The following is a 23,969-nucleotide window of genomic DNA, read 5'->3' as shown; positions in this document are numbered from 1 at the left end:
GTCTGAATGTGTCCCCCAAAATTCATATCTTGGTAACTTAATTACCAATGCAACAGTATTGGGAGGTAGGGCCTTTTGGGAGGCCTTTAGGTCATTTGGACTCTGCCCTCATTAATGGGTTAATGCCATTATAAAAGGGCTTGATGGAGGGAGTTTGACCCCTTTTTGCCCTTTCTGTCCCTTCTGCTTTGTGAGGACATAGCGTTCCTTCCCTCCAGGGGATGCAGCAACAAAGCACCATCTTAGATGCAGAGAGACTGGGGCCTCATCACCTGATGCCTTGACCATGGACTTCTTTGTCTATGGATCTATAAAAAATAAATGTCTATTGTTTATAGATTATTCAGTCTGTGGTATTTTGTTATAGCAGCACAAACTAAGACAAATGGTCTTATCTATTCTCTTTAAAAACAATTCCATACATAGACAAAATGGGAAGCTCCCTAGATAATGCACCCACACAAGACTGCACCAATTCCAATGGTTTTCTGAGACTATCCTGCTATAATTGCTGCTAATTGCCTACATTAGTAGTTCTCCTTGGAGGTGAGGGTTGATCTAAAAAAGGAACCATAGTCAAGGATGTAAGGAGACATAGCTGTGCCATCTAAACATGGACGCCACTGAACATATGTGGCTATTTAGATTTTAATTAACATTAAATAAAGGCTCAGCGCGGTGGCTCACACCTGTATCCCAGGACTTTAGGAAGCCAAGATGGGATGATCGCTTGAGCCCCGGAGTAGTTCCAGCTACTCGGGAGGCTGAGGCAGGAGAACAGCGTGAACCCAGGAGGCGGAGGTCGCAGTGGGCCGAGATCGCGCCACTGCCCTCCAGCCTGGGTGACTAGCGAGAGTCCGTCTCCAAAAAAAAACAAAAAATTAGTTTTAGTAAAAGATGAAAGATTTATGAGCAGGTACAGTGGCTCACGCCTGTAATCCCAGCACTTTGGGAGGCTGAGGCGGGAGGATCACCTGAGTTCAGGAGTTTGAGACCAGCCTGGCCAACTTGGAGAAACTCTGTCTCTACTAAAAATACAAAATTAGCTGGGTGTGGTGTCGCATGCCTGTAATCCCAGCTATTTGGGAGACTGAGGCAGGAGAATCTCTTGAACCCAGGAGGCGGAGGTTGCAGTGAGCTGAGATTGCGCCATTGCACACCAGCCTGGGCAATAAGAGCAAAATTCCATCTCAAAAAAAAAAAAAATGAAAGATATATATGACCTGGGCCAGGCGCGGTGGCTCACGCCTGTAATCCCAACACTTTGGGAGGCCAAGGCGGGCGGATCACGAGGTCAGAAGATCGAGACCATCCTGGCTAACACGGTGAAACCCCGTCTCTACTAAAAATACAAAAAAATTAGCCAGGCGTGGTAGCGGGCGCCTGTAGTCCCAGCTACTCCGCAGGCTGAGGCGGGAGAATGGTGTGAACCCAGGAGGCGGAGCTTGCAGTGAGCCAAGATAGGGCCACTGCACTCCAGCCTGGGCGACAGGGCAAGACTGTTCCCCCCACAAAAAAAAAAAAAGAAAGAAAGATTTATATGACCTGAAGAGAAACCAGAGTATTATATATGAAACCATTATTTTTTTATTTTTTTATTTTATTTTGAGACTGAGTCTTGTCCAGGCTGGAGTTGCAGTGGTGTGATCTTGGCTCGCCGCAACCTCCACCTCCCGGGTTCAAGCAATTCTGCTTCAGCCTCCCGAGTAGCTGGGATTACAGATGCACGCTACCCACGCCCGGCTAATTTTTGTGTTTTTAGTAGAGACGGGGTTTCACCATGTTGACCAGGATGGTCTCGAACTCCTAACCTCAGGCGATCTGCCTGCCTCGGCCTCCCAAAGTGTTGGGATAACAGGTGTAAGCCACCATGCCTGGCCTATATTACTATTTTAAAGCCACCAAAAAGAAGTTTACAACCTCACAAGAGGAAGTATGTAAAGAGGGTCCCTACCAATGTACTTCTAGGATTTCTAGATCTATCAATATTCAGAACATTCACAGTATTGTAATTCAGGGCCTTAATGGAAACAGTTACCTTTTATACCACTAAGCATACCTTGTGAATCTTGTGTTTCAGTAAAGTGAATCAGGCGAGTTCTCTGGCACATTCTTGAAGTGTTTGTTAGCACCATGAATGAACTGATTCTGGGGGTGCAGAGAATATTCTGTCTCTATCTTCATCTCTTTATTTTTCCACCATAAGTTTAAAACAGCTGAGTAAGAAATTCTTCTATCCTTTATCATTATATTTTTCTCCAGTGATAGCAAATGCTTCAAAACCACAAAAGCATGTGGTTCACTGATGCCTTTGCAACTTGTGGTTGATGTTAAAGGGGTAGAAAACAGACAGAAAAAGCCTGTGTTCAAAATCAATACACATTGAATTCTAGAGATGCTTTAACTCGGTATCATATTTGAGAGGGGAAACAGGAATAAAGAAATTGCGCAGTTGTAATTTTCAACCATAACACAGCATCAGCTACATTTTGCTTTCCTTTGCGATACTCAAATGAAAGGCAGGCTTGTATGAATGCAAAGTATTATTACCTATCTTCTCTTTGAAGCCACAGTTATTTAGTAATCATTCTCATTTAAGTTAGTTTTACTGTTCTACGCATGGCTGTGCTTCAAGCTCAGGAGGAAAGCAATTCTTATCATAAAAGCCACCTTATTTCAGAGCTGGGTAACATTTAAAGCCACAGGAAAGTGAATTATATTTAACAAGAGTTAAGGCTTTTGAGCAAAAATGCAAACATGCTACAGGATTAAATTAGCTTGCTTTTAGAAACTCTCACTCATAAATTCCTTGGGATGATTATGTATGTAAAAAAGCCTCAGGTACTCATGTTTTCTATTCCCCGAGTTGTTGGGATACAAGAAATGAAAGAACTCCAGGGGGTGCCATTCACATCAGAGCTGTGTTCCCTGGAGATGGGCAGAACAGCCTTCCATAGCCAGGCTCACGTGGAGGATGGTTTGGAAGGGGTGAGAGACCGGATGAAGACAAAAGCATCAATAAGGAAGCTATCACAGTGATGCAGGTGAGATGAAATGAGATCCTGAATGCAGATAGTACTAGAGGATGAAAACGAAGAATCAGCCCTGAGAAACATTTAGAAGGTAGATTCATTAGGACTTGATGGGTAACGAGAAGAAGGAAGTAAGGATGCTGACAGAGGGAGCTGAAAAAATGATCTCAGTCACTTCATCTTACCTAAATCTTTATGAGCTCCTTCCTTTACTTCAAAGTAGGTCATTATATTTCAGTGAGTTCTTATGATAACAAAGAATAGTTCAGAGCCAGCCTGTTTTCAACTGAAATCGTTTCATTAGGGCCTGCAGTCTCACAACTGCCTCTCTTCCCCAGAAATGTATCAGCAAATGACTTGGGAAATCAACACTATTCAGTCTACAGGCACTATCAGTTGACTTGCTGAAAAACACACTTTGGGAAACTTATCAATGTCCTCTACAACAGTGATGAATCTCCTTGAGTGTTGATAAACATACAGTCATATATCTTGGCTTCAAAAGCATGTGAGGAAATACTAGCTAGAGCAATTAGGCAAGAGAAAAAATTAAAGGGCGTCCAAATTGGAAAGGAGGAAGTCAAACTGCACCAGTCAAATACAAGACCATTTGGAAATGAGAGGGGAAACCATCAGGAATAAGGAAATTGCACAGTTGTAATTTTCAACCATTTAAGATTTGGAAATGATCTTATATTTGGAAAAACCTAAGGATGCCACCGAAAAACTCTTAGAGCTGATAAACAAATTCAATAAATTGTGGGATACAAAATCAACATACAAGACCTGCGTGGCCAACATGGCAAAAGCCCATCTCTACTAAAAATACAAAAATTAGCTGGGCATGGTTGCACACGCCTTTAGTCCCAGCTACTCAGGAGGCTGAGGTGGAAGAATCGCCTGAACCCAGGAGGCGGAGGTTGCAGTGAGCCAAGATTGCACCACTGCAGTCCCAGGTGAGGAAGAGAGCGAGACTCCATGTCAAAAAAATAAAATAAAATAAAAATAACAAAATATACGATAAAGCTATAGTAGGCTGGGTGCAGTGGCTCATGCCTGGAATCCCAGTACTCTAGGAGGCTGAGGTGAGCGGATCACTTGAGGCCAGGAGTTCGAGACCAGGCTGGCCAACATGACAAAACCCCATCTCTGTTGAAAATACAAAAATTAGCCAGGCGTGGTGGTGCGCACCTGTAATCCCAGCTACTTGGGAGGCTGAGGCAGGAGAATCCCTTGAACCTGGAAGGTGAAAGTTGCAGTGAGCTGAGATCTCACCACTGCACCCCAGCCTGGGCGATAGAGCAAGACTGTCAGAAAAAAGAAAATAAAAGCTATAGTAACCAAAACAGCATGGTCTGGCATAAAACAGACACAGAACAACAGAACAGAAAAGATAACCTTGAAATAAATCCACATATTTATAGCCAGCTGGCTTTTGACAAAAGTGCCAAAAACACACACTGGGGAACACAGTCTTTGATAAAAGGTGCTGGAAAAACTGGATATGCCTATGCAGCAGAATGACACTAGAACCCCATCTCTCACCCTATATGAAAATCGACTCTCAATAGATTAAAGGCTTAAATGTAAGACCCGAAGCTATAAAACTACTAGAAGAAAACATAAGAGAATTGCTTCAGGACATTGGTTTGGGCAAAGATTTTATGGATAGGATCTCAAAAGCACAGGAAACAAACCAAAATTTATCCAAAAAAGGAACTAAATAGGCCAGGCATGGTGGCTCACGCCTGTAATCCCAGCACTTTGGGAGGCCAAGGCGGGTAGATCATCTAAGGTCAGGAGTTCGAGACCAGCCTGACCAACTTGGAGAAATTCTGTCTCTATTAAAAATACAAAATTAGCCGGGTGTGGTGACAGGCGCTTGTAATCACAGCTACTCGGGAAGTTGAGGCAGGAGAATAGCTTGAACCCAGGAGATGGAGGTTGTGGTGAGCTGAGGTTGCATCACTGCACTCCAGCCTGGGCAATAAGAGTGAAACTCCATCTTAAAAAAAAAAAAGAAAAAAAAAAAGGGACTAATATCCAGAATATACAAGGACCCAAAATACTCAAGAGAAAAAAAATTACAACTAAAAATGGGCAAATAAATTAGGTGGGCACGCACCTGGAGTCCTAGCTAGTTGGAAAGCTAAGGTGGGAGGATCACTTGAGCCTAGGCTGCAGTGAGCTGTGGTTGCACCGTTGCACTCCAAGTCTCAGTATTTTGCCCAGGCTGGTCTCAAACTCCTGGGCTCTAGCATATTCTCCCTCCTCAGTCTCCCAAAGTGCTAGGATGACAGGCAAGAGCCACCGCACCAGGCAAGGTAACTATAATTAGCAACAGTTTGTCATATATTTTAGAATAGCTGGAAGAGAGGATTTTGAATGTTTGCAACCCAAATAAATGATAAGGGCCAGGTGTGGTGGCTCATTCCTATAATCCCAGCGCTTTGGGAGGCTAAGGCAGGAGGATAGTGTGAGGCCAGGAATCTGAGACCTGCCTGGGCAACATAATGAAACCTCATTTCCACAAAATAATTGAAAAATTACCCAGGCATGATGGTGGATGTCTGTAGGTCCAGCTACTTGGGAGGCTGAGATGGGAGGATCACTTGAGCCCAGGAATCTGAGGCTGCAGTGAGCCATGATCATCCCATTGCTCTTCAGCTTGGGTAACAGACCGAGACCCTGTCTCTAAAAACAAAAACAAAGAAATGATAAATGTTTGAGGCAGTAAATAGGCTATAATAATTACCCTGATTTGATCATTACATGTTGTATACATATATGAAAATATCACACTGTACCCCATAAATATGTATAATTACTACGTGTCAATTAAAAATAATATTAAAATGGATTTTTTTGTTTTTTTGAGATGGAGTCTCGCTCTGTTGCCCAGGCTGGAGTGCAGTGGCGCCATCTCAGCTCACTGCAAGATCCAACTCCCAGGTTCACACTATTCTTCTGCCTCAGCCTCCTGAGTAGCTGGGACTACAGGCGCCTGCCACCACGCCCGGCTAATTTTTTTGTATTTTAGTATAGACAGGGTTTCACCATATTAGTCAGGATGGTCTCCATCTCCTGACCTCATGATCCACCTGTCTCGACCTCCCAAAGTGCTGGGATTACAGGCGTGAGCCACCGCGCCCAGCCATAAAATGGATTTTTTAAAAAGCATCTGAATCTGTTTAACAAACTTGAAATAAAGTAGGGACACAGGGCTGCCCCTATGGTTGTACAGATTGTAGTCTCTGAGAGGGGGACCTGAGAACGGACAAGAATTGGGCTGAAATAAAGCTCAGGAGCCATTTGCCAAGCCCTGTGACTTCACTCACAGTTGCAAGAGCCTGGAGGAAGTAGCAACTTTTTCTAATTGGTGCACTTAAGTCTTTTTGCAATTTGTCAGCCCCAAAGTGGTTTTTTTTTTTAATGTATACAAAATTTCATATGTGCTAATTATGGCCCTAGGACACAGAATTCCTTTGGCACTTAGCACTTAGGAAGAGAGTCAAAAAGTGAAAACCTAATAATCGAGATGATTCTGCTGGAGCACAATTAATTGGGGGTTGGGAGCATGGAACTAGTAGAGGAAGAAAAAGGAAAGCATATTAGGGGAGATTTCCCAGATGCGTTACTGTTTTTTGTTTCGTTTTGAGACGGAGTCTCGCTCTTTCACCTAGGCTGGAATGCATGGCGCAATCTCGGCTCACGGCAACCTCTGCCTCCCAGGTCCAAGCAATTCTCCTGCCTCCTGAGTAGCAGAGATTACAGGCGTGTGCCACCACGCCAGGCTAATTTTTGTATTTTTAGTAGAGACGGGGTTCCACCATGTTAGCCAGGCTGGTCTCGAACTCCTGACCTCAAGTGATCCGCCTGCCTCAGCCTCCCAAAGTACTGGGATTACAGGTGTGAGCCACCAACGCCCAGCCTGTGTTACTGTTTTAAACAAACATTTCAATGTGTAAGCATTGTCACTGAAGCCGATCTGTGGAGCCTGAAGGTTATACAATTCTGGTGGTCCCTCTATAAGAAAAAATATATATATATAATTACGAATGCAAGCTTGCCAGGGGCCTGACAGCAACTTGGAATGGGCCAGTGCAAGTAAAGGACCTGAAACTTAATTAGCTTCATGGTAAATCTGCCCCCTGGTTAGTAAATCCAGTTCTTTAAAGTAAATGTCCAAACAGGATGTGGTGGTGCACACCTGCAACTGCTCAGAAGGCTAAAGCGGGAGGATCTTTTGATCCCTGGAGTTCAGGAGTTTTGAGACCAGCCTGAGGAATGGAAGGAGACCAACCCACCCACCCCCAATATGTTATTTTTTTTTTAAAAGAGGATGTCTAAAAAAAACAAGTATTTGAGTCAATGATACTATGTTTACTGGCATTTTGGAACTCTTCCTACTTTGTGGTAATTAAGGACCAAAGCCACCTTTTCTTTTTTTTTTTTTTTTTGAGACAGAGTCTCACTCTGTCGCCCAGGCTGGAGTCCAATGGCGCGATCTCGGCCCACCGCAACCTCTGCCTCCCGAGTTCAAGCGATTCTCCTGCCTCCGCCTTCCAAGTAGCTGGGATTACAGGCACGCGCCACCACGCCCGGCTGTTTTTTGTATTTTTAGTTGAGACGGGGTTTTGCCATGTTGGCCAGGCTGGTCTCAAACTCCTGACCTCAAGTGATCCGCCCGCCTCGGCCTCCCAAAGTGCTGGGATTACAGGCGTGCAGCCGCGCCCAGACTCGCCTTTTTATTTTCAGTGCTTAAGATATGGCGGGGCGCGGTGGCTCACGCCTGTAATCCCAGCACTTTGGGAGCCCGAGGCGGGCGGATCGCGAGGTCAGGAGATGGAGACCATCCTGGCTAACACGGTGAAACCCCGTTTCTACTAAAAAATACAAAAAATTAGCCAGGCGTGGTGGCGGGCGCCTGCAGTCCCAGCTACTAGGGAGGCTGAGGCAGGAGAATGGCGTGAACCCGGGAGGCGGAGCTTGCGGTGAGCCCAGATCGCGTCACTGCACTCCAGCCTGGGCGACAGAGCGACACTCCGTCTCAAAAAAAAAAAAACAAACAAAAAAAGATATGAAGGAGGGCTGGGCATGATGGCTCACGCCTGTAATCCCAGCACTTTGGGAGGCCAAGGCGGGCGGGTCACTTGAGGTCAGGAAATCGAGACCATCCTGGCTAAAGGTGAAACCCCGTCTCTACTAAAAATACAAAAAATTAGGGGGCGTGGTGGCACATGCCTGTAAGCCCAGCTACTCGGGAAGCTGAAGCAGGAGAATCGCTTGAACCCGGGAGGCGGAGGTTGCGGTGAGCCAATATCTCGCCATTGCACTCCAGCCTGGGCAACAAGAGCGAAACTCTGTCTCAAAAAAAAAAATTAAAAAAAAAAAAAAAAAATTAGCCGGGCGTGGTGGCTGGCGCCTGTAATCCCAGCTATTTGGGAAGCTGAGGCACGAGAATCGCTTAAAAACCCAGGAGGCATAGGTTGCAGTGAGCTGAGATTGCGCCACTGCACTCCAGCCTGGACTACAGAGCGAGACTCTGTCTCAAATAAAAAATAAAAATAAGATATGAAGGAAGGGAGGAAATGAGGGAGGGAGGGAAATTGTTTATAAGCAAATAGGTTTGGGTTTTCTTGTTTTTGATGATAACCAGATCTATCATCTACCTCCAACTTTTCCCTTTTTAAACAAAAGTTATTAATTAACCTCATGATCTGCCTTACTCCCTAAATTTAATTTTAACTGACTCACCTTTTCCTACAGTAAAATAACCACTAAAACGGCAATGATTATCCACTATAGGAGATACTACAAGGTAGAATTATTATAAATTAGGTGTGTCAAGTACTAGTGTACTTGTTAAAATACTAGACTCTTGGACATGGGGAAAGAGGTATTTTCATGCACTGTTATAAATTGGGGAACTCTATATAGATATTAAATAAACCCAGCTTTTGACTCAGCGCTTCTGGAATACACAGCAGAGAGACACAGACAAGGGTTCCCTCCCTCCCCCACAGCCACACCTCCTGCCCCCTCTCTCCATTCTGTTAGGAAACAGTGTTACATATGAATCAATGCTGGTTTGTTTTCTGCAGATGCAGATTAATGACTTTGGAAGACTCACTGCCTCCGGGTAAACTAAAGGACTCATTAATTCAGTTCATTTTACACAATTAAAAAACTTTTTATAAAAAAAGAAAGCGAAAAGAAAAAGCTGGGCTTAGGGGTGCTGGCCTTTAGTCCCAGCTACTCGGGAGGCTACAGCTGGAGGATCATGTGAGACCAGGAGTTTCACCTGGGACCAGCCTGGGCAATATAGGGAGACCTCTTAAAAAAAAAAAAAGGAAAAGGAAAAATAAAAGAAAACCCAACCAGAATACCCCTAAATCTCTCAAATTCATTCCTCTCCAACTCTTTTTTTTTTTTTTTTTTTGTCTTTTTCTTGAAACAAGGTCTCACTATGTCACCCAGACTGGAGTACAGCGGCATGATCACACTGCAACCTCCACCTCTTGGACTCAAGCGATCCTCCCACCTCAGCCTCTCGAGTAGCTGGCACCCCTGCGCCACCACGCCTGGTAATTTTTTGTATTTTTGGTAGAAATGGGGTTTCACTATATTGCCCAGGCTGGTCTTGAACTCATGAGCTCAAGCGATTCTCCTGCCTCCCAAAGTGCTGGGATTACTGGCATGAGCCACCACGCCCTGCTCTTCTGATCCCAACATGTGCTGTGCCAGCCACTGTTTTCTCCAGACACTGTTTTCTCCAGACATGCCCACAACCCTCTAAGTAAAGGCTATTATTTTCATGACTCTCATTTCATGGATGAGAAAACAAAGAGACCTAACGTTATTGCCCAGGTCACACAGCTAGTGAAGGGGAGGTTGGGTTTAAATCCTGTCTGGCTAGCTGCTAAAGCCTTACATTTAAAAATGAATCAATCTGGCCTGGATTTGGTGTCTGTGTTTTTATGTTTTATTTTTATTTTATGTTTTATTTTGAGATGGAGTCTCACACTGTCACCCAGGCTGGAGTGCAATGGCACGATCTTGACTCACTGCAACCTCTGCCTCTCCAGCTCAAGCAATTCTCCTGCCTCAACCTCCTTGGTAGCTGGGATTACAGGCACGCACCATGCCCGGCTAATTTTTGCATTTTTAGTAGAGAAGGGGTTCTGCCATTGTTGGCCAGGCTGGTCTCAAAACTCCTGAACTCAAGTGACCTGCCCACCTCAGCCCCCCAAAGTGCTGAGATTACAGGCGTGAGCCACCATGCCCAGCCCAGAACTCCAGTTATTCTGAATGTTACGTTCAATTACACTGACAAAAGAAAGATGATTCAGTTATACACTTTATACACAAACCTTAATTAGAAAGTCCTACTGGTGGTTACCAAAGGCTGTGGTAAAGAATTGTTAAATCAAAGCCCTAATATCTCCCAGATGACCTCAACTCACCTGGTTTCCTCTTTGCCGCCTTGGGGGTTGCCCAGTCCACAACCTGCACTTCCTTCTCTATTCCTGGGCTCCGTTTACTTACTTTTTCTGTCCGTGGATTTCTAGCCTGTGAGCAGATTACTAACACCATTTGGATAAAGACAGTCTCTTATTTATCATTTTAGGACAAGCAATGAGATGTAGGAAAAAAAAACAACAAAGTAAACCAAAGAACAAAAGAGACTTTGGACCCTGACAAGGGAGGGTTTCAGTCGCACAGCCACTGCTTCCTTCACTTCACATCTCTTGACAATCTGACAGGGAGCACTGATCTGAGGAAAGATTTTTCAAATTATTTTAAGGAGAAAAACTTGAACTTCTTTGGGAGTCAGTAGGTTAGGGGTTCACTTACTGTGCTATTGAAAAAGTTACCAATAAAAATTTATACCAACTTTAGTCATATATAAAATGGGGAACAATAATGACTGAATTTAAAACTCACAATTTGAGATATAAAAAAATACTCGGGCGGGGAGTGGTGGCTCACGCCTGTAATCCCAACACTTTGGGAGGACAAGGCTGGAGAATTACTTGAGGGCAGGAGTTCGAGACCAGCCAGGTCAAAATAGCCAGACCCCCCCACTTGCCCTCTACAAAATAAATAACAAATACTCTATAGACTTTAAAAGCTACTATTATTAGTTCGTTGGCAGATGAAAAGATGCTCGGTATTAGTACAGAGAAACCTGGAGTTTTAGTTGGTTGAGTAACTTACTTAGGAAATGGAATGTATTTGGTACGAGAAAATAGCTTTCTTCAAGCCGCCAGTCTGGTCTCTGAAGTCTACTGTTGCCACAAGTTCCATTATTAAATCCCTTCACACATCCTGCTCAAGTCTCTGGCCACTGTTTTTTTGTTTTTTGTTTTTTGTTTTTTTTCCCCGTAGAATCGTTCTGAAGGAGTGCTCAATCTCCCAATGTCTCCGGAACCATACTTTGGATAATTACATTTAAAGTGAACAGAAAAGGGCCAGGAATAGTATTAGTAATTCAACCCAGACAAAAGTCACCCCATGAATAAGAAAGAATGCAATTTTAGCATTTACAAATTGTGGGGGAGGGAACAGAAGGGGAGAAGAAAAGAAGAGGTGAGGTGGAGAGAAAAAGGGTCTTCGGGCGGCAGGAAGTGGGAGGAGACTTTGCAAATAGCAATCTTGGGGCAGGGGCCATTTTGGAAGCATGTTGCGAGGCTCCGCTTCTTCTACAAGTATGGAGAAGGCAAAAGGCAAGGAGGTCAGTACAGTTTTAGTGGATTTGTTTTCTGTCTGTCTTTGTGTTTCTGTCTTCCCTGGGCACTCCTGATTTTTCCTTTAAGGAGAAAAGAATGTGCCTTCGAATTTTCTCCTCTTGACTTTTTTTTTTTTTATTTTAAGAGTAAGGCCCAAGAATATGATTGCAGCCTGGTATATTGGAGTGAGCAGACAAGTAAGAAATGAGGTTTTCTAGGTTTAGTTGAGGAGGTTGAGTGTGTCAAAAGATGGGGAAAAAAAAAAAAGAGGCCGGGCGCGGTGGCTCACGCCTGTAATCCCAGCACTTTGGGCAGCCGAGGCGGGCGGATCACCTGAGGTCGGGAGTTCGAGACCAGCCTGACCAAAATGGAGAAACCCCGTCTCTACTAAAAGTACAAAATTAGCCAGGTGTGGTGGCGCACACCTGTAATCCCAGCTACTCGGGAGGCTGAGGCAGGAGAATCGCTTGAACCCGGGAGTCGGGGGTTGCGGTGAGCCGAGATCGCCCCATTGCACCCCCAGCTTGGGCAACCAGAGCGAAACTCCACCTCAAAAGAAAAAGTTAAAAAATTAGGTTTTCAGGTTTGTGTTTTGGAACAGGGTTTCACTTTTGTCTCCCTGGCTGGAGTGCAGTGGCACCATCACTATTCACTGTAACCGCCCAGGCTCAAACGATCCTCCCACCTCGGCTTACCAAAGTGCTACTGGGACTGCAGGCGCCCGCCGCTGCTCCCGGCCCGGGTTTTCTGTTTTGAAGAGGTGCTTAGTCCTGTCAGAAAGAACTAACTGAATATGGGGGCTAGAGGGAAATGGTAACAGGAGAAAAGGGTGTTAAAGGAAAGATTTTAGGAAGAGGTAATTGAGCTGAGTTTGGAAAAGAATGAAACCCCTTAATTTCCTTTAGACGGACACAGATCCTAAACCGAGGGTGCTGAGAATGAATTCGTCCCCTTTTCCCAGCGTCCTTAGGACCTAGGAGTAATCAGAAGCCAGACATTGGGAACAATGCAGACAGAAACTGAAGGAAGAGAGGATTTAAGACGTTGCACAGGCACTGAACGGCCATATCCGAGCGCTCTCAGGTCCTCTTGACTTGAACTGGGTCATTTTTAACTGTCTCGGTTTTAAGTCTTTTGTGAGGTCCAAAGTGAGTACTTTTTGTAAGGTTTATGCAAATATAAATTTCAAATCAAAATGTAGAACTGCTATAGAGATGTAAAAATGCCATACAAATGTTAATTTGTCCAGTAATCCACCCTGAAAGTGAAGAAAAGGATTTAGATTTAGGAGAAATTTTATTATATTAATTTTTTTTTTTTAATGAGTTTGACTCTGTCGCCCAGAGTGGTGTGCAGTAGCCGATCTCGGCTCACTGCAGCCTCTGCTTCCCGGGTTCAAGCGATTCTCCTGACTCAGCCTCTCGATTAGCTGGGATTGCAGGCACGCACCACCACGCCCAGGTAGTTTTTGTATTTTTGGTAGTGACTGAGTTTCGATATGTTAGCCAGGCTGGTCTCGAACTCCTGACCTCAATCGGTCAGCCCACCTCGGCCTCCCAAAGTGCCGGGATTACAGGCGTGAGCCACGGAGCCTAGCCTTTATATTTAAATTTTAATTTATATCTAATGTACCCCTAATCTGTGTCTTTATGTTACCTCTGATTCTCAGCTTCTGTGTCTGAGAAGTAATTGTTGCCAGATTGCTATGAGAATTAAATGAATGAAAAAAGGAAGGCCAAGGCCAGGCACAGTGGCACACGCCTGTAATCCCAGCACTTTGGGAGGCTGAGGTGGGCGGATCACTTGAGGCCAGGAGTTTGAGACCAGCCTGGCCAACATGGTGAAACCCCCATCTCTACTAAAAATAGAAAAATTCAGCCGGGTGTGGTGGCAGGCGCCTGTAATTCCAGCTAGTGGGGAGGCTGAGGCAGAGAATTGCTTAAACCGGGGAGATGGAAGTTGCAGTGAGCCGAGATTGGACCACTGCACTACAGCCGGGGTGACAGAGCGAGACTCCTCTCAGAGAAAAAGAAAATAGGGAACCCTTGGGCGCAGTGGCTCGCGCCTTTAATCCCAACTCTTTGGGGAGCCAAGGCGGGAAGATTGCTTGAGGCTAGAAGATTGAGATCAGTGGGGGGAGACATAGGGAGACCTCACCTCTACAAAAAATTATCCTGTAGTCCCACCTGCTCAGGAGGCTGAGGCAAAAGATCACTTGAACCCGGGAGGTAGAGCTTGGAGTGAGCTATGGTCCTGTCACTGCACTCCAGCCTGTGTGACAGGGCAAGACCTTTTCTTTAATAAATAAATATTTTTTAAAAAAATGAAAGTGAGGAGCATATCAAAGCCAATGCCTAGTATGAGACAGAGGCTCAATATATGTTACTGTCTCTGGATTAAACAACTTTTCCCCACTCCCACTTTGCTTCCTTTAATTCAATGAACCAATATTTATTGAGTGCCTATGATGAAAAAGAAATCACACAAACCAATGTAATTGCAATTAACAAGTGGTAGAAATGAGGTAGTATTTAGTAGATTGGTCTGGAAGGACCAGGTTAAATAGCACTTGAGGTGAGACTTTTAAAAGAAGAGTAAGATTTTTAAGGTGTAAGATTTTAAAGTGTAAATAGAAGTAGGGTGGAGGTTGGGGCTGAGGAATGTAACAACTTTGGAAAGGAAAGGAATTATGTGGCTGGAGCTTGGTCAGGGAGAGCAGTGTGAAATAGGAGATAAGAGGCTGGTAGGTAATGTTAAAGACAATTACTTTTATGTTAAGAGCAATAAACCACTGAAACTTTTCATAGTGTCACTCTGCCAACAGTGTTAGAAAATTATTTGGAAGGCGTCAAGAATGAAGGACTGGGGGAAAAAATTCTGCCAGGTGAGAGATGATGGAATATAGTAAGTGAGTTAAGGGCCTCTTTTTTTTTTTTGAGACAGTCTCATTCTGTCACCCAGGCTGGAGTGCAGTGGTGCAGCCTCTACCTACCTCCCTGGCTCAAGCAATCCTCCTATCTCAGTCTCGAGTAGCTGGACTACACGCACACACCACCATGCTCAGCTAATTTTGTTTCCTTATGTAGAGGCAAGGTTTCACTATGTTGTTGCTCAGGCTGGTATCCAGTTACTGGACTCAAGCAATCCTCTTGCCTAGGCCTCCTATAGCACTCAGACTACAGGCGTGAGCCTACCTAAGCGCTTTTTCCCCTCAAGGCAGAGCTGTTTTCTTCTACTCTTGTTTGTATCTGTCTTTTCATGTGCTTTCAAACTGGCTTCCTCCCTTTTTTTCCATCATTGTTTCCCAGTCTTGTAAATGAAACTGAGTATTAAGATGATACCCAGAGGAGAATCCACACTGCCAGTGGAGTCCAGTAACTGCGTTGGTGCCTTAGAAGTGAGTTATCTTGAGGCAGGTAGTGTATGTGTGGTTTGGACACTAGAGGAATGACTGACCAGCTCCTCTGTTCCCCAGTGGACCTCCACAGAGAAGTCGAGGGAAGAGGATCAGCAGGCTTCTAATCAACCAAATTCAATTGCTTTGCCAGGAACATCAGCAAAGAGAACCAAAGAAAAAATGTCTATCAAAGGCAGTAAAGGTAAGAGGTCTTCAAATTCTCAAATCCCACCTTCTCGGGTCTTAGAAGCCAGAGGAATTTTTCTGAAGAAGAAAAACCAGGGAAGAAATTTCCATCATGTATTGTGCAAATCCTGCACTTCATGGAAGCCAAGCTTAAACTGTTACCTTCCTGAAGCATCTTTTGGTCACCACTGCTCTAACTGATCCCTTCCTATCTTCAGACTTCCACAGCATATTTGGTTCTGCTGATCATTTTTTCCTTCACTTGCTACTTGGAGTTAAGGATTTCAGTGTGCAATGATTTGGGAACAGACAGCTGTAAATTTGAAGATCCATTCTTGAAACCGGACTTCCTATTCTAAAAATAAGTTAGGACAATATCTACCTTTATTAAGCGGTGGGAATGGAGTGTTAAAATTTACATAGAGTAGTTAAGTGAAGCACTTAGACTATGCCTGAGAAGTAATATGTACAGAGTAAACCCTACTATTAGTGTCATTACAGGCTGGTTTTTTTTTTTTTTTTTTTTTTTTTTTTTTGAGACACCAAGACAGGGTGTTGCTCTGTCATCCAGGCTGGAGTGTGGTGGCACCATCTCAGCTCCCTGCAACCTGTGCCTCCCGAGTTCAAGCAATTCTCCTGTCTCAGCCTCCCAAGTTAGCTAGGATTGCAGGCGTGTGCCACCATGCCTGGCTGATTTTTGTATTTTTAGTAGAGACAGGGTTTCACCATATTGGCCAGGCTGATTGCAAACTCTTGGCCTCAAGTGATCGTCTGCCTTGGCCTCCTAAAGTGCTGGGGTTACAGGTGTGAGGCACCATGCCCAGCCTTAGAAATTTTTATGGCACGATCCCGGCCCACTACAACCTCTGCCTCCCGGGTTCAAACAGTTCTCCTGCCTCAGCCTCCCAAGTAGCTGGGATTACAGGCATGTGCCACCACGCCCAGCTAATTTTTTAAGTAGAGACGGCGTTTCACCATGTTGACCATGCTGATCTCCAACTCCTGACCTCAGGTTATCCACCCACCTCGGCCTCCCAAAGTGCTGGGATTACAGTGTGAGCCACTGCGCCCAGCCAGAAATCTTTACTGAATGAAGACAAGGTATGTGAGGTGCAGAAGCGGGATGAACAGAAACACAGCAGAGCTAAGGAAACATACCTGCTATGAAACCAGAGTGCTTCCCTGACCTAGGGTGGGCTGGCAGAATTAAGGGTATTAGTGGTTGCCTGTGTAGCATTGTCAGGTGTTGATTTTGCTCTGGGGGTAGAGGACACCACTGAGTATGATCTCAAGTCTAAGACAGCGGTAATTCCCCTGGGATGGAAGTGCAACCTCCGATGCCACCACCTGGATTCTGTGGATTAAGGAGCTCACAAAGGAGCAAGTGTACCTCAGTAGTGGGGCAATTTAGGAATAAAACTGGGTTTTAGAAGTGGTAAATCCTAGGTTTGAGAGGGATTGGACTATTAACTAAAAGTGATTTTAGGCTGGGCGCGGTGGCTTAGGCCTGTAATCTCAGAACTTTGGGAGGCCTAGGTGGGCAGATCACAAGGTCAGGAGTTCGAGACCAGCTTGGCCAACATGGTGAAACCCCATCTCCACTAAAAATACAAAAAATTAGCCGGGCGTGGTGGTGGGCGTCTGTAATCCCAGCTACTCAGGAGGCTGAGGCAGGAGAATCACTTGAACCCACGAGGCGGAGGTTGCAGGGAGCCAAGATCGCGCCACTGCACTCCAGCCGGGCGACAGAGCAAGATTCTGTCTCAAAAAAGAAAAAAAAAGTGATTTTACTTTTGAAATTCAGAAAAGCTACACAAAGATAATTACTACTCATTTGATTCCATTCTGCTTCAGTGCTCTGCCCTAAGAAAAAGGCAGAGCACACTGACAACCCCAGACCTCAGAAGAAGATACCAATCCCTCCATTACCTTCTAAACTGCCACCTGTTAATCTGATTCACCGGGACATTCTGCGGGCCTGGTGCCAACAATTGAAGCTGAGCTCCAAAGGCCAGGTGAGGTCCCAGGCTGGGGACGGTGCTGCTGGGAGGAAGGGTAGGAACCTTATTTGCCTTACTAACTCAGTTTTCTATTGTCTTAGAAATTGGATGCATATAAGCGCCTGTGTGCCTTTGCCTACCCAAATCAAAAGGTAACTTTTTAAAGGATGGACGTTTCAATGCTTATCCTAATTACCTATTGTAGCCTCAAAAGTGAGTAAAGGAACTGTCTTAGCCTCACCTTGTTCCTCCACCCCTAGTTCTAAGAAAGAACAATATTTCCCATCTCTACTTCTCTTTTTTTTCTTTCTTTCTTTCTTTTTTTTTTTTTTTTTTTTTTTTGAGACAGAGTCTTGCACTGTCACCCAGGCTGGAGTGCAGTGGCACCATCTCGGCTCACTGCAACCTTCACTTCCCGGGTTCAAGCAATTCTCCTGCCTCAGCCTCCAGAGTAGCTCGGATTACAGGCGCCTGCCTCAGGTGATCCACCCACTTCGGCCTCCCAAAGTGCTGGGATTACAGGCGTGAACCACTGTGCCTGGCCAGCAATTTTCTTTTTTTCTATTTTTTTCTTTTCATTTCTTTTCTTTTCTTTTCTTTCTTTTTTTTTTTTTTTTTTTTTTTTGAGACAGAGTCTCCCTCTGTCACTTAGGCTGCAGTTCAGGCTGCAACCTCTGCCTCCCTGGTTCAAGTGATGCCCCTGTCTCAGCCCCTGGAGTAGCTGAGATTACAAGCATGAGCCACCATGCCTGGATAATTTTTGTATTTTTAGTAGAGACGGGATTTCACCATGTTGGCCAGGCTGGTCTCGAACTCCTGACCTCAAGTGTTTCACCCACCTTGGCCTCCCAAAGTGCTGGGATTACAGACCTGAGCCACTGGGTGGCCAACTGAGCAATTTTCAAGAAGACAGTACATTGTTATTAACTATGTATAGTTACCAACTTGTACAATAGATCTCTTGAACCTAGTCCTCCTAAGTGAAACTTTGTATTTGATCAAGAGCTCCTTAGGCCATTTTTGTTAGAATTTTAATCTGTATTTTTATCTTTATTATTTAACCCTTTTTGTAGGATTTTCCTAGCACAGCAAAAGAGGCCAAAATCCGGAAATCATTGCAAAAAAAATTAAAGGTGGAAAAGGGGGAAACGTCCCTGCAAAGTTCTGAGACACATCCTCCTGAAGTGGCTCTTCCTCCTGTGGGGGAGCCGCCTGCCCTGGAAAATTCCACTGCTCTCCTTGAGGGAGTTAATACAGTTGTGGTGACAACTTCTGCCCCAGAGGCTTTGCTGGCCTCCTGGGCGAGAATTTCAGCCAGGGCGAGGACACCAGAGGCAGTGGAATCTCCACAAGAGGCCTCTGGTAAGCGCAACATGAAGAGCTTATTCTGGTCCAATGGGGAAATAAGCTTAGTAGATATTAATCACTGGTACATTTTAGGGTATATCAAAATCCCTTTGAGGGCCGGTGATTCCTGGACCCTGCCCACAGAGTTTCTGGTGCAGGTCTAGGGCAGGACCTGAGCATTTATTTGCATTTCTTTTTTTTTTTTCCTTTTTTTTTTTTTTTTTTTTTTTTTTTTTTTGAGACAGTTTCTCCCTTGTTGCCCAGGCTAGAGTGCAGTGGCGCGATCTCAGCTCACCGCAACCTCCACCTCCCAGGTTCAAGCAATTCTCCTGCCTCAGCCTTCCTGAGTAGCTGGGATTACAGGCATGTGCCACCATGCCCGGCTAATGTTGTCTTTTTAGTAGAGATGGGGTTTCTCCATGTTGGTCAGGCTGGTCTCGAACTCCCGACCTCAGATGATCCTCCCACCTTGGCCTCCCAAAGTGCTGGGATTACAGGCGTGAGCCACCGTACCTGGCAAGAGTTTGCATCTCTAACAGTTTCCCAGGCAGTACTAAGGATGCTGGTCTGGGGACCACAGTTTGAGAACCACTGCTCTAAATTATTGATGGCATCAGAAGGGGATAGCAGTCTGGTTTTCTTTCTTTACCCTTTAAGCAATTTAAATTAAAGGCAAGGTCTAAAATTAATTGCCTGCAACTGAGCCCCAGAATGGCATTAATAAGTTATTTAAAATATTTCCCAGCGTTTTCATTGTAAAATGGGTAATACCTACCTTATATGTTGGAAGAATTACAGAAAGTACAACAAAAGAAGACAAACTGCTTAGCATAATCCAATGTGTGTTAAGAGCTGAGACCCCTGAGCTTATTTCATGAAGCCCTTTCCAGACACTCTGGGTTAGTCTTTCTACCATCTGCCCACCTACAACTATACTACTTCCAACTAGATTTTTAAGTTTTAACAGGAACTGTCTTGTATGCTTTTTGTTTTGTTTTGCTTTTGATATGGAGTCTCGCTCTGTCACCCAGGCTGGAGTGCAGTGGTGCAATCTTGGCTCACTGCAAGCACCGCCTCCCGGGTTCACGCCATTCTCCTGCCTCAGCCTCCTGAGTAGCTGGGACTACAGGCCCCCGCCACCACGCCTGGCTAATTTTTTGTATTTTTAGTAGAAACGGGGTTTCACTGTGTTAGCCAGGATGGTCTCGATCTCCTGACCTCGTGATCCACCCGCCTCGGCCTCCCAAAGTGCTGGGATTACAAGCGTGAGCCACTGCGCCCAGCTTGTATGCTTTTCTAAAGGAGAACAGAATAGAGAAGAGGTTAAGTTAGGATTTCAGGGTTCACATCTTGGAGCTGGTCAATCAAGGGTGATGGGCCATAATGCAGTCTTACATCAGTATGTCATCCTGGTGTGCGGGTACCTGTCTCTTTCCTTTGCCATTGCCAGGTGTCAGGTGGTGTGTGGTCCATGGGAAAAGTCTCCCTGCAGACACAGATGGTTGGGTTCACCTGCAGTTTCATGCTGGTCAAGCCTGGGTTCCAGAAAAGCAAGAAGGGAGAGTGAGTGCACTCTTCTTGCTTCCTGCCTCCAATTTTCCACCCCCGCACCTTGAAGACAATATGTTGTGCCCCAAATGTGTTCACAGGTAATTACCTGATGCTTTTCTACAAACTAAAAGTGGGTGCCGGATTTTCAATTGCAGAAAGTTAAGATATACATTAATCTTAAATAGCCAGGTATTTCAAGCTCAAATTGTCAGTAAAGAGTTTCAAGAAAATTATTACTCAGTTAAGTTTATCCCCAGGAAAAAGAAAGCATTTATGTGTCAGGGTTTAATGCTTCTACCTGGAGACACAGAATTCTGGGAGCAACAAACATTATATAATTACTATATTCAAAGTGTATGCTCTACACAGAAATAATGACTAGCAAAAAACCTCTTCCTTTAAGTAGCCTACAGTCTTAACAGGGATGGTGGGCATGTAAACACCTAGAATAACATGATGAATATCAAAGAAGAGGTTCCTTAAGTTAAGGGAAGAATCGACTAGATGGAAAGGAGAGATCGGTAATTTCTCAGCCTGGGAAACGTAGCAAGACCATCTCCCACAGGAGGAAGTATGTGAATGTGTGATTGGCTTTTCCTTCTTTGGGATATCCTACTTTTTGCTGTGAGTGTTTTGATAATCTCTCTATGCCAAGCAAGTTGAAGAGAACTGAGGAGGTCACTTTGGGTAGTCCTTTAATGACATACTTAGGTTTTTGGGAAAGTGATGAAAAGAGCCCCTCCAAGGCCTCCTGTCCATGGTTGGCACAAGTCAGGGAATATATTACAGAGGCATGATAACTTGGCTGATGATCTTCATTCTTGAATGACAGGATCACAGGCTTGCTACCTATGATCCTAAAGTTGTAAGGGCAATTTCAACAGCATTCCAGCAGCGGGTTTCTTGGCTATTTTTAATATTTCTTCATTCTTTTTAAAAACAAATACTTTATTTGCTTTATAGGAACAAGGTCTTAATAAAAAGCCTCCAATGGGAATAGAATATCAGGAAAAAGGCCACATCTATGGTAATTAATGGCAGAAAAGCTGGAGAGTTGGATTCTGCGGTGCTGCTGACAGGTGAACTCTGGTCCTCTGCACCTGTTTATGGGCCATGCAGACTGGTGGGGTGGCAGATGTTAGCCTAAGACCCCTAGCAGTGCCTGTTGCTTTGTGAGTGGAGATAGAGACTCTTACATTTAAAAATGGAAAAACATTTCACAAATTACCATAAATTGTAGTTAATATGTAGAAAAACTCATTCATACTACTTTTCTAAAATAGACATGACTTCAGCAGCAGCTTTTTTTTGTTGTATTTTGAGACAGTGTCTCACTGTTGCCCAGGCTGGAGTGCAGTGGTGCAATCTCAGTTCAGTGCAATCTCCGCCTCCTGGGTTCAAATGATTCTCCTGCCTCAGCCTCCTGAGTAGCTAGGTACAGGCACCTGCCACCACACCCAGCTAATTTTTTGTATTTTTAGTAGAGATGGGGTTTCACCATGTTGGCCAGGTTGGTCTCAAACTCCTGGACTCAAGTGATCACCCTCCTCAGCCTCCCAAAATGCTGGGACTATGGGCATGAGCCCCTGCGCCTGACCTTCAACAGCTCTTTTAAGTGAGTTCTTCAGCTAAGCATTGTGATGGACTTGAGTAAAATGGTAGTTGGCTCTTGTGCTCAATTTTCTCTTCCTCTGAACACTGACTACTTTAGGAGCTGCTTCATTCCAATTGCAATTTCATAAAACGTAAAGTATTTTAAGGCAAAGAAAGGCTGTTAATTCCCTCCCTCCCCCAAACACATGATTTTTAATATTCTAAACAATATTTTTCAAAGTTCTCTTAATAACCTGAGATTTCTATGGTTTGACTCCAGGATCAAAACACAAGGGACTTTGTATTATTTCACTTATAATTGTTTTGTATATTTCTGGAGTTTAAAATGTTTAAGGTTGCTTCCCGCTCATAAATACATAATATATTGAATTTAAAATGTGTTTATTAACCGATTCTCCATAAATAAAAATAAGATGTGTATGTAAAATAATTCATCTGTTGTATTTAGAGAACCATATTCATTGCATGCAAATTTTATTGTTAGTGTTCTTAACTCAAGTAGGAGTAAACCAAAAAGTGTGATTTTTCTTTTGTATGACTCGTTTGTTCTTTATTAGTTGGTGGTATGGGTTGGATCATTTGTTTTTAAAACTACTTAGGTATGATTCACATACAAAAAGCTGCACATATTTAATGTATCCTATTGTGTAATTAATTTTTAATTTTTTTGTGTACTTCCTAAACTTATAGTCCTGCGAGTCTGGGAACAGATCTGTTTTTCACTTATCCTGATTTAATGACAGTTTCCAACATTGTTTTGTTATTACAAGTAGGGGATCTTTTTTTTTGCCCGTTTAATGAAGATACTAAAAATAATGCACTGGAAGGAGTGGAAGAGTTGGAAAATTTGTAACCATCATAATACAGGTGTAATAGGTTTGGGAAAGAATCCTCAAAAATGTTAAAGCAAGGGAGGAAAGTTTGTTGAGAAGCAAGATGTTCTTCTCTCCTGCCCGCCCCCGCCGTTGGTTGTTGGTGGTCAGAATTATTGTGTAATAAATAATAGACATTTTTTCTTATACTATGTGTATTGTTCCTTTTGTTTCCTTTTTAAACTTCTCCCCTGCTTTATTTGGATGGGTCAAGTTTCTGTTCTGTTTCCTTCCTTTCTATTAATTTGGAAATGTCCTTGGCTTTACGATTCTGCTTGTAGATACTTCCCCTGCTTCTAACACATTTCAATAAACTTAAATTTCTCTATATACAAAATAAATTAATAATTGGAGTCTACCAGTAAGACAGTTTATTTACTCATCTTCCTGCCCCAGCAAGATAAAACCTTAAGGTTACATACTTGCCAAATCACCCTAATTTTCACAGGCCTCCCCCAAAGTTCCTATCAATCACATTCAGTCCCCCACTCCCTGTCTCCCTGCTATGCTCCCAGAATGCTAAGAGGAAGACAGTTGGAGCTATAAACTCCCTGTGTCTCAGATGAGTTCCCTGGCAGAGGCATGACATCTTGCTGTTTTGGGGGGAGCTGAGAGAAGAGATTTATATTCCCAATTTCCCATCTGGATGTTAAGATAACTTGTACAAATAGGTCTGTGCCCACATTGTATCTGGTGTGGGAAACCTGGAGCCAGCCTTGCAAATTTCTCTTGGCCCCAAAGGGACATGGCAGCTTCCAAGGGTAAACGTTGGTCAGGGCTTCTGAACATATTGTTGATGGAAATAAAATTTCTACATTTTGGCACGATGGGGCTTACTGACGTAAAAATTGGAATTTGGCTACAGCCACCTTAACCAAGGATTCCAACTTAGCACCACCAGGAATGTTACAAACTAAAATGTCTTTTCTGATAAACAATGGGAAGTACACAATATCATTGCCAAAAATATAATGTAAATCTAATAATGAGGAAACAATTAGTCCTGATTACACCTGTTGTCTCAGGCTAATTGAGTCTACCTTGCTTTGAATGACACTTAGACATAGCCATATGTGAAGAGCCACAGGGGCCAGGGGCAGTGGCTCACGCCTGTAATCCCAACACTTGGGAGACTGAGGCTGGCAGATGACTTGAGCCCAGGAGTTCAAGACCAGCCTGAGCAACATATTGAAACCCTTTCACCAAAGTACAAAAGTTAGCCCGCTGTGGTGGCCTGT

At 44.0% G+C, this 23,969-nt stretch overlaps 1 protein-coding gene across 5 annotated transcripts, besides 5 other annotated features; it reads left to right on the top strand.

Annotated features, from left to right (window-relative positions):
• Positions 900–1,401: an enhancer, noted in NCBI's record as "H3K4me1 hESC enhancer chr3:109066679-109067180 (GRCh37/hg19 assembly coordinates)". NCBI's record gives its function as "activates a minimal SCP1, AML or CMV promoter by ChIP-STARR-seq in naive H9 embryonic stem cells {active_cell/tissue: H9 hESC(naive)}" and the evidence as "EXISTENCE:reporter gene assay evidence [ECO:0000049][PMID:30033119]".
• DPPA4 (developmental pluripotency associated 4) lies at positions 9,597–23,089 on the top strand. 5 transcript variants are annotated; one of them, XM_024453622.2, is made up of 7 exons: positions 9,597–9,619; positions 15,240–15,363; positions 17,202–17,362; positions 17,449–17,499; positions 18,421–18,709; positions 20,145–20,343; positions 21,209–23,089. In XM_024453622.2, exons 2-7 carry the CDS (start codon positions 15,342–15,344, stop codon positions 21,243–21,245), a joined length of 759 nt encoding a protein of 252 aa, XP_024309390.1. In that variant the 5' UTR covers positions 9,597–9,619; positions 15,240–15,341; the 3' UTR covers positions 21,246–23,089. The 5 variants fall into 5 exon arrangements, with proteins under 5 accessions (XP_024309390.1, NP_001335857.1, NP_060659.3 ...); NM_001348928.3 differs by lacking the exon at positions 9,597–9,619 and adding an exon at positions 11,687–11,769 and having other exon boundaries at positions 15,313–15,363; NM_018189.4 differs by lacking the exon at positions 9,597–9,619 and adding an exon at positions 11,687–11,769.
• Positions 9,756–10,363: an enhancer, noted in NCBI's record as "H3K27ac hESC enhancer chr3:109057717-109058324 (GRCh37/hg19 assembly coordinates)". NCBI's record gives its function as "activates a minimal SCP1, AML or CMV promoter by ChIP-STARR-seq in primed H9 embryonic stem cells {active_cell/tissue: H9 hESC(primed)}" and the evidence as "EXISTENCE:reporter gene assay evidence [ECO:0000049][PMID:30033119]".
• Positions 11,582–12,189: an enhancer, noted in NCBI's record as "NANOG-H3K27ac-H3K4me1 hESC enhancer chr3:109055891-109056498 (GRCh37/hg19 assembly coordinates)". NCBI's record gives its function as "activates a minimal SCP1, AML or CMV promoter by ChIP-STARR-seq in primed H9 embryonic stem cells {active_cell/tissue: H9 hESC(primed)}" and the evidence as "EXISTENCE:reporter gene assay evidence [ECO:0000049][PMID:30033119]".
• Positions 12,190–12,798: an enhancer, noted in NCBI's record as "NANOG-H3K27ac-H3K4me1 hESC enhancer chr3:109055282-109055890 (GRCh37/hg19 assembly coordinates)". NCBI's record gives its function as "activates a minimal SCP1, AML or CMV promoter by ChIP-STARR-seq in naive H9 embryonic stem cells {active_cell/tissue: H9 hESC(naive)}" and the evidence as "EXISTENCE:reporter gene assay evidence [ECO:0000049][PMID:30033119]".
• Positions 12,799–13,407: an enhancer, noted in NCBI's record as "H3K27ac hESC enhancer chr3:109054673-109055281 (GRCh37/hg19 assembly coordinates)". NCBI's record gives its function as "activates a minimal SCP1, AML or CMV promoter by ChIP-STARR-seq in naive H9 embryonic stem cells {active_cell/tissue: H9 hESC(naive)}" and the evidence as "EXISTENCE:reporter gene assay evidence [ECO:0000049][PMID:30033119]".

The sequence above is a fragment of the Homo sapiens genome, chromosome 3 (assembly GCF_000001405.40).
Source record: "Homo sapiens chromosome 3, GRCh38.p14 Primary Assembly".
NCBI classification, from domain to species: Eukaryota; Metazoa; Chordata; class Mammalia; order Primates; family Hominidae; genus Homo; species Homo sapiens.
This window is presented reverse-complemented; position numbering and strand designations above follow the sequence as displayed.

Bases quoted from the DNA above. Each gene is read 5' to 3' on its own strand.
- DPPA4 (NM_018189.4), top strand. From the start codon at position 11,716: ATGTTGCGAGGCTCCGCTTCTTCTACAAGTATGGAGAAGGCAAAAGGC. The intron at 17,363-17,448 runs GTGAGGTCCCAG...CTATTGTCTTAG, and splicing joins AGCTGAGCTCCAAAGGCCAG to AAATTGGATGCATATAAGCG. The intron at 18,710-20,144 runs GTAAGCGCAACA...TGCCATTGCCAG, and splicing joins ATCTCCACAAGAGGCCTCTG to GTGTCAGGTGGTGTGTGGTC.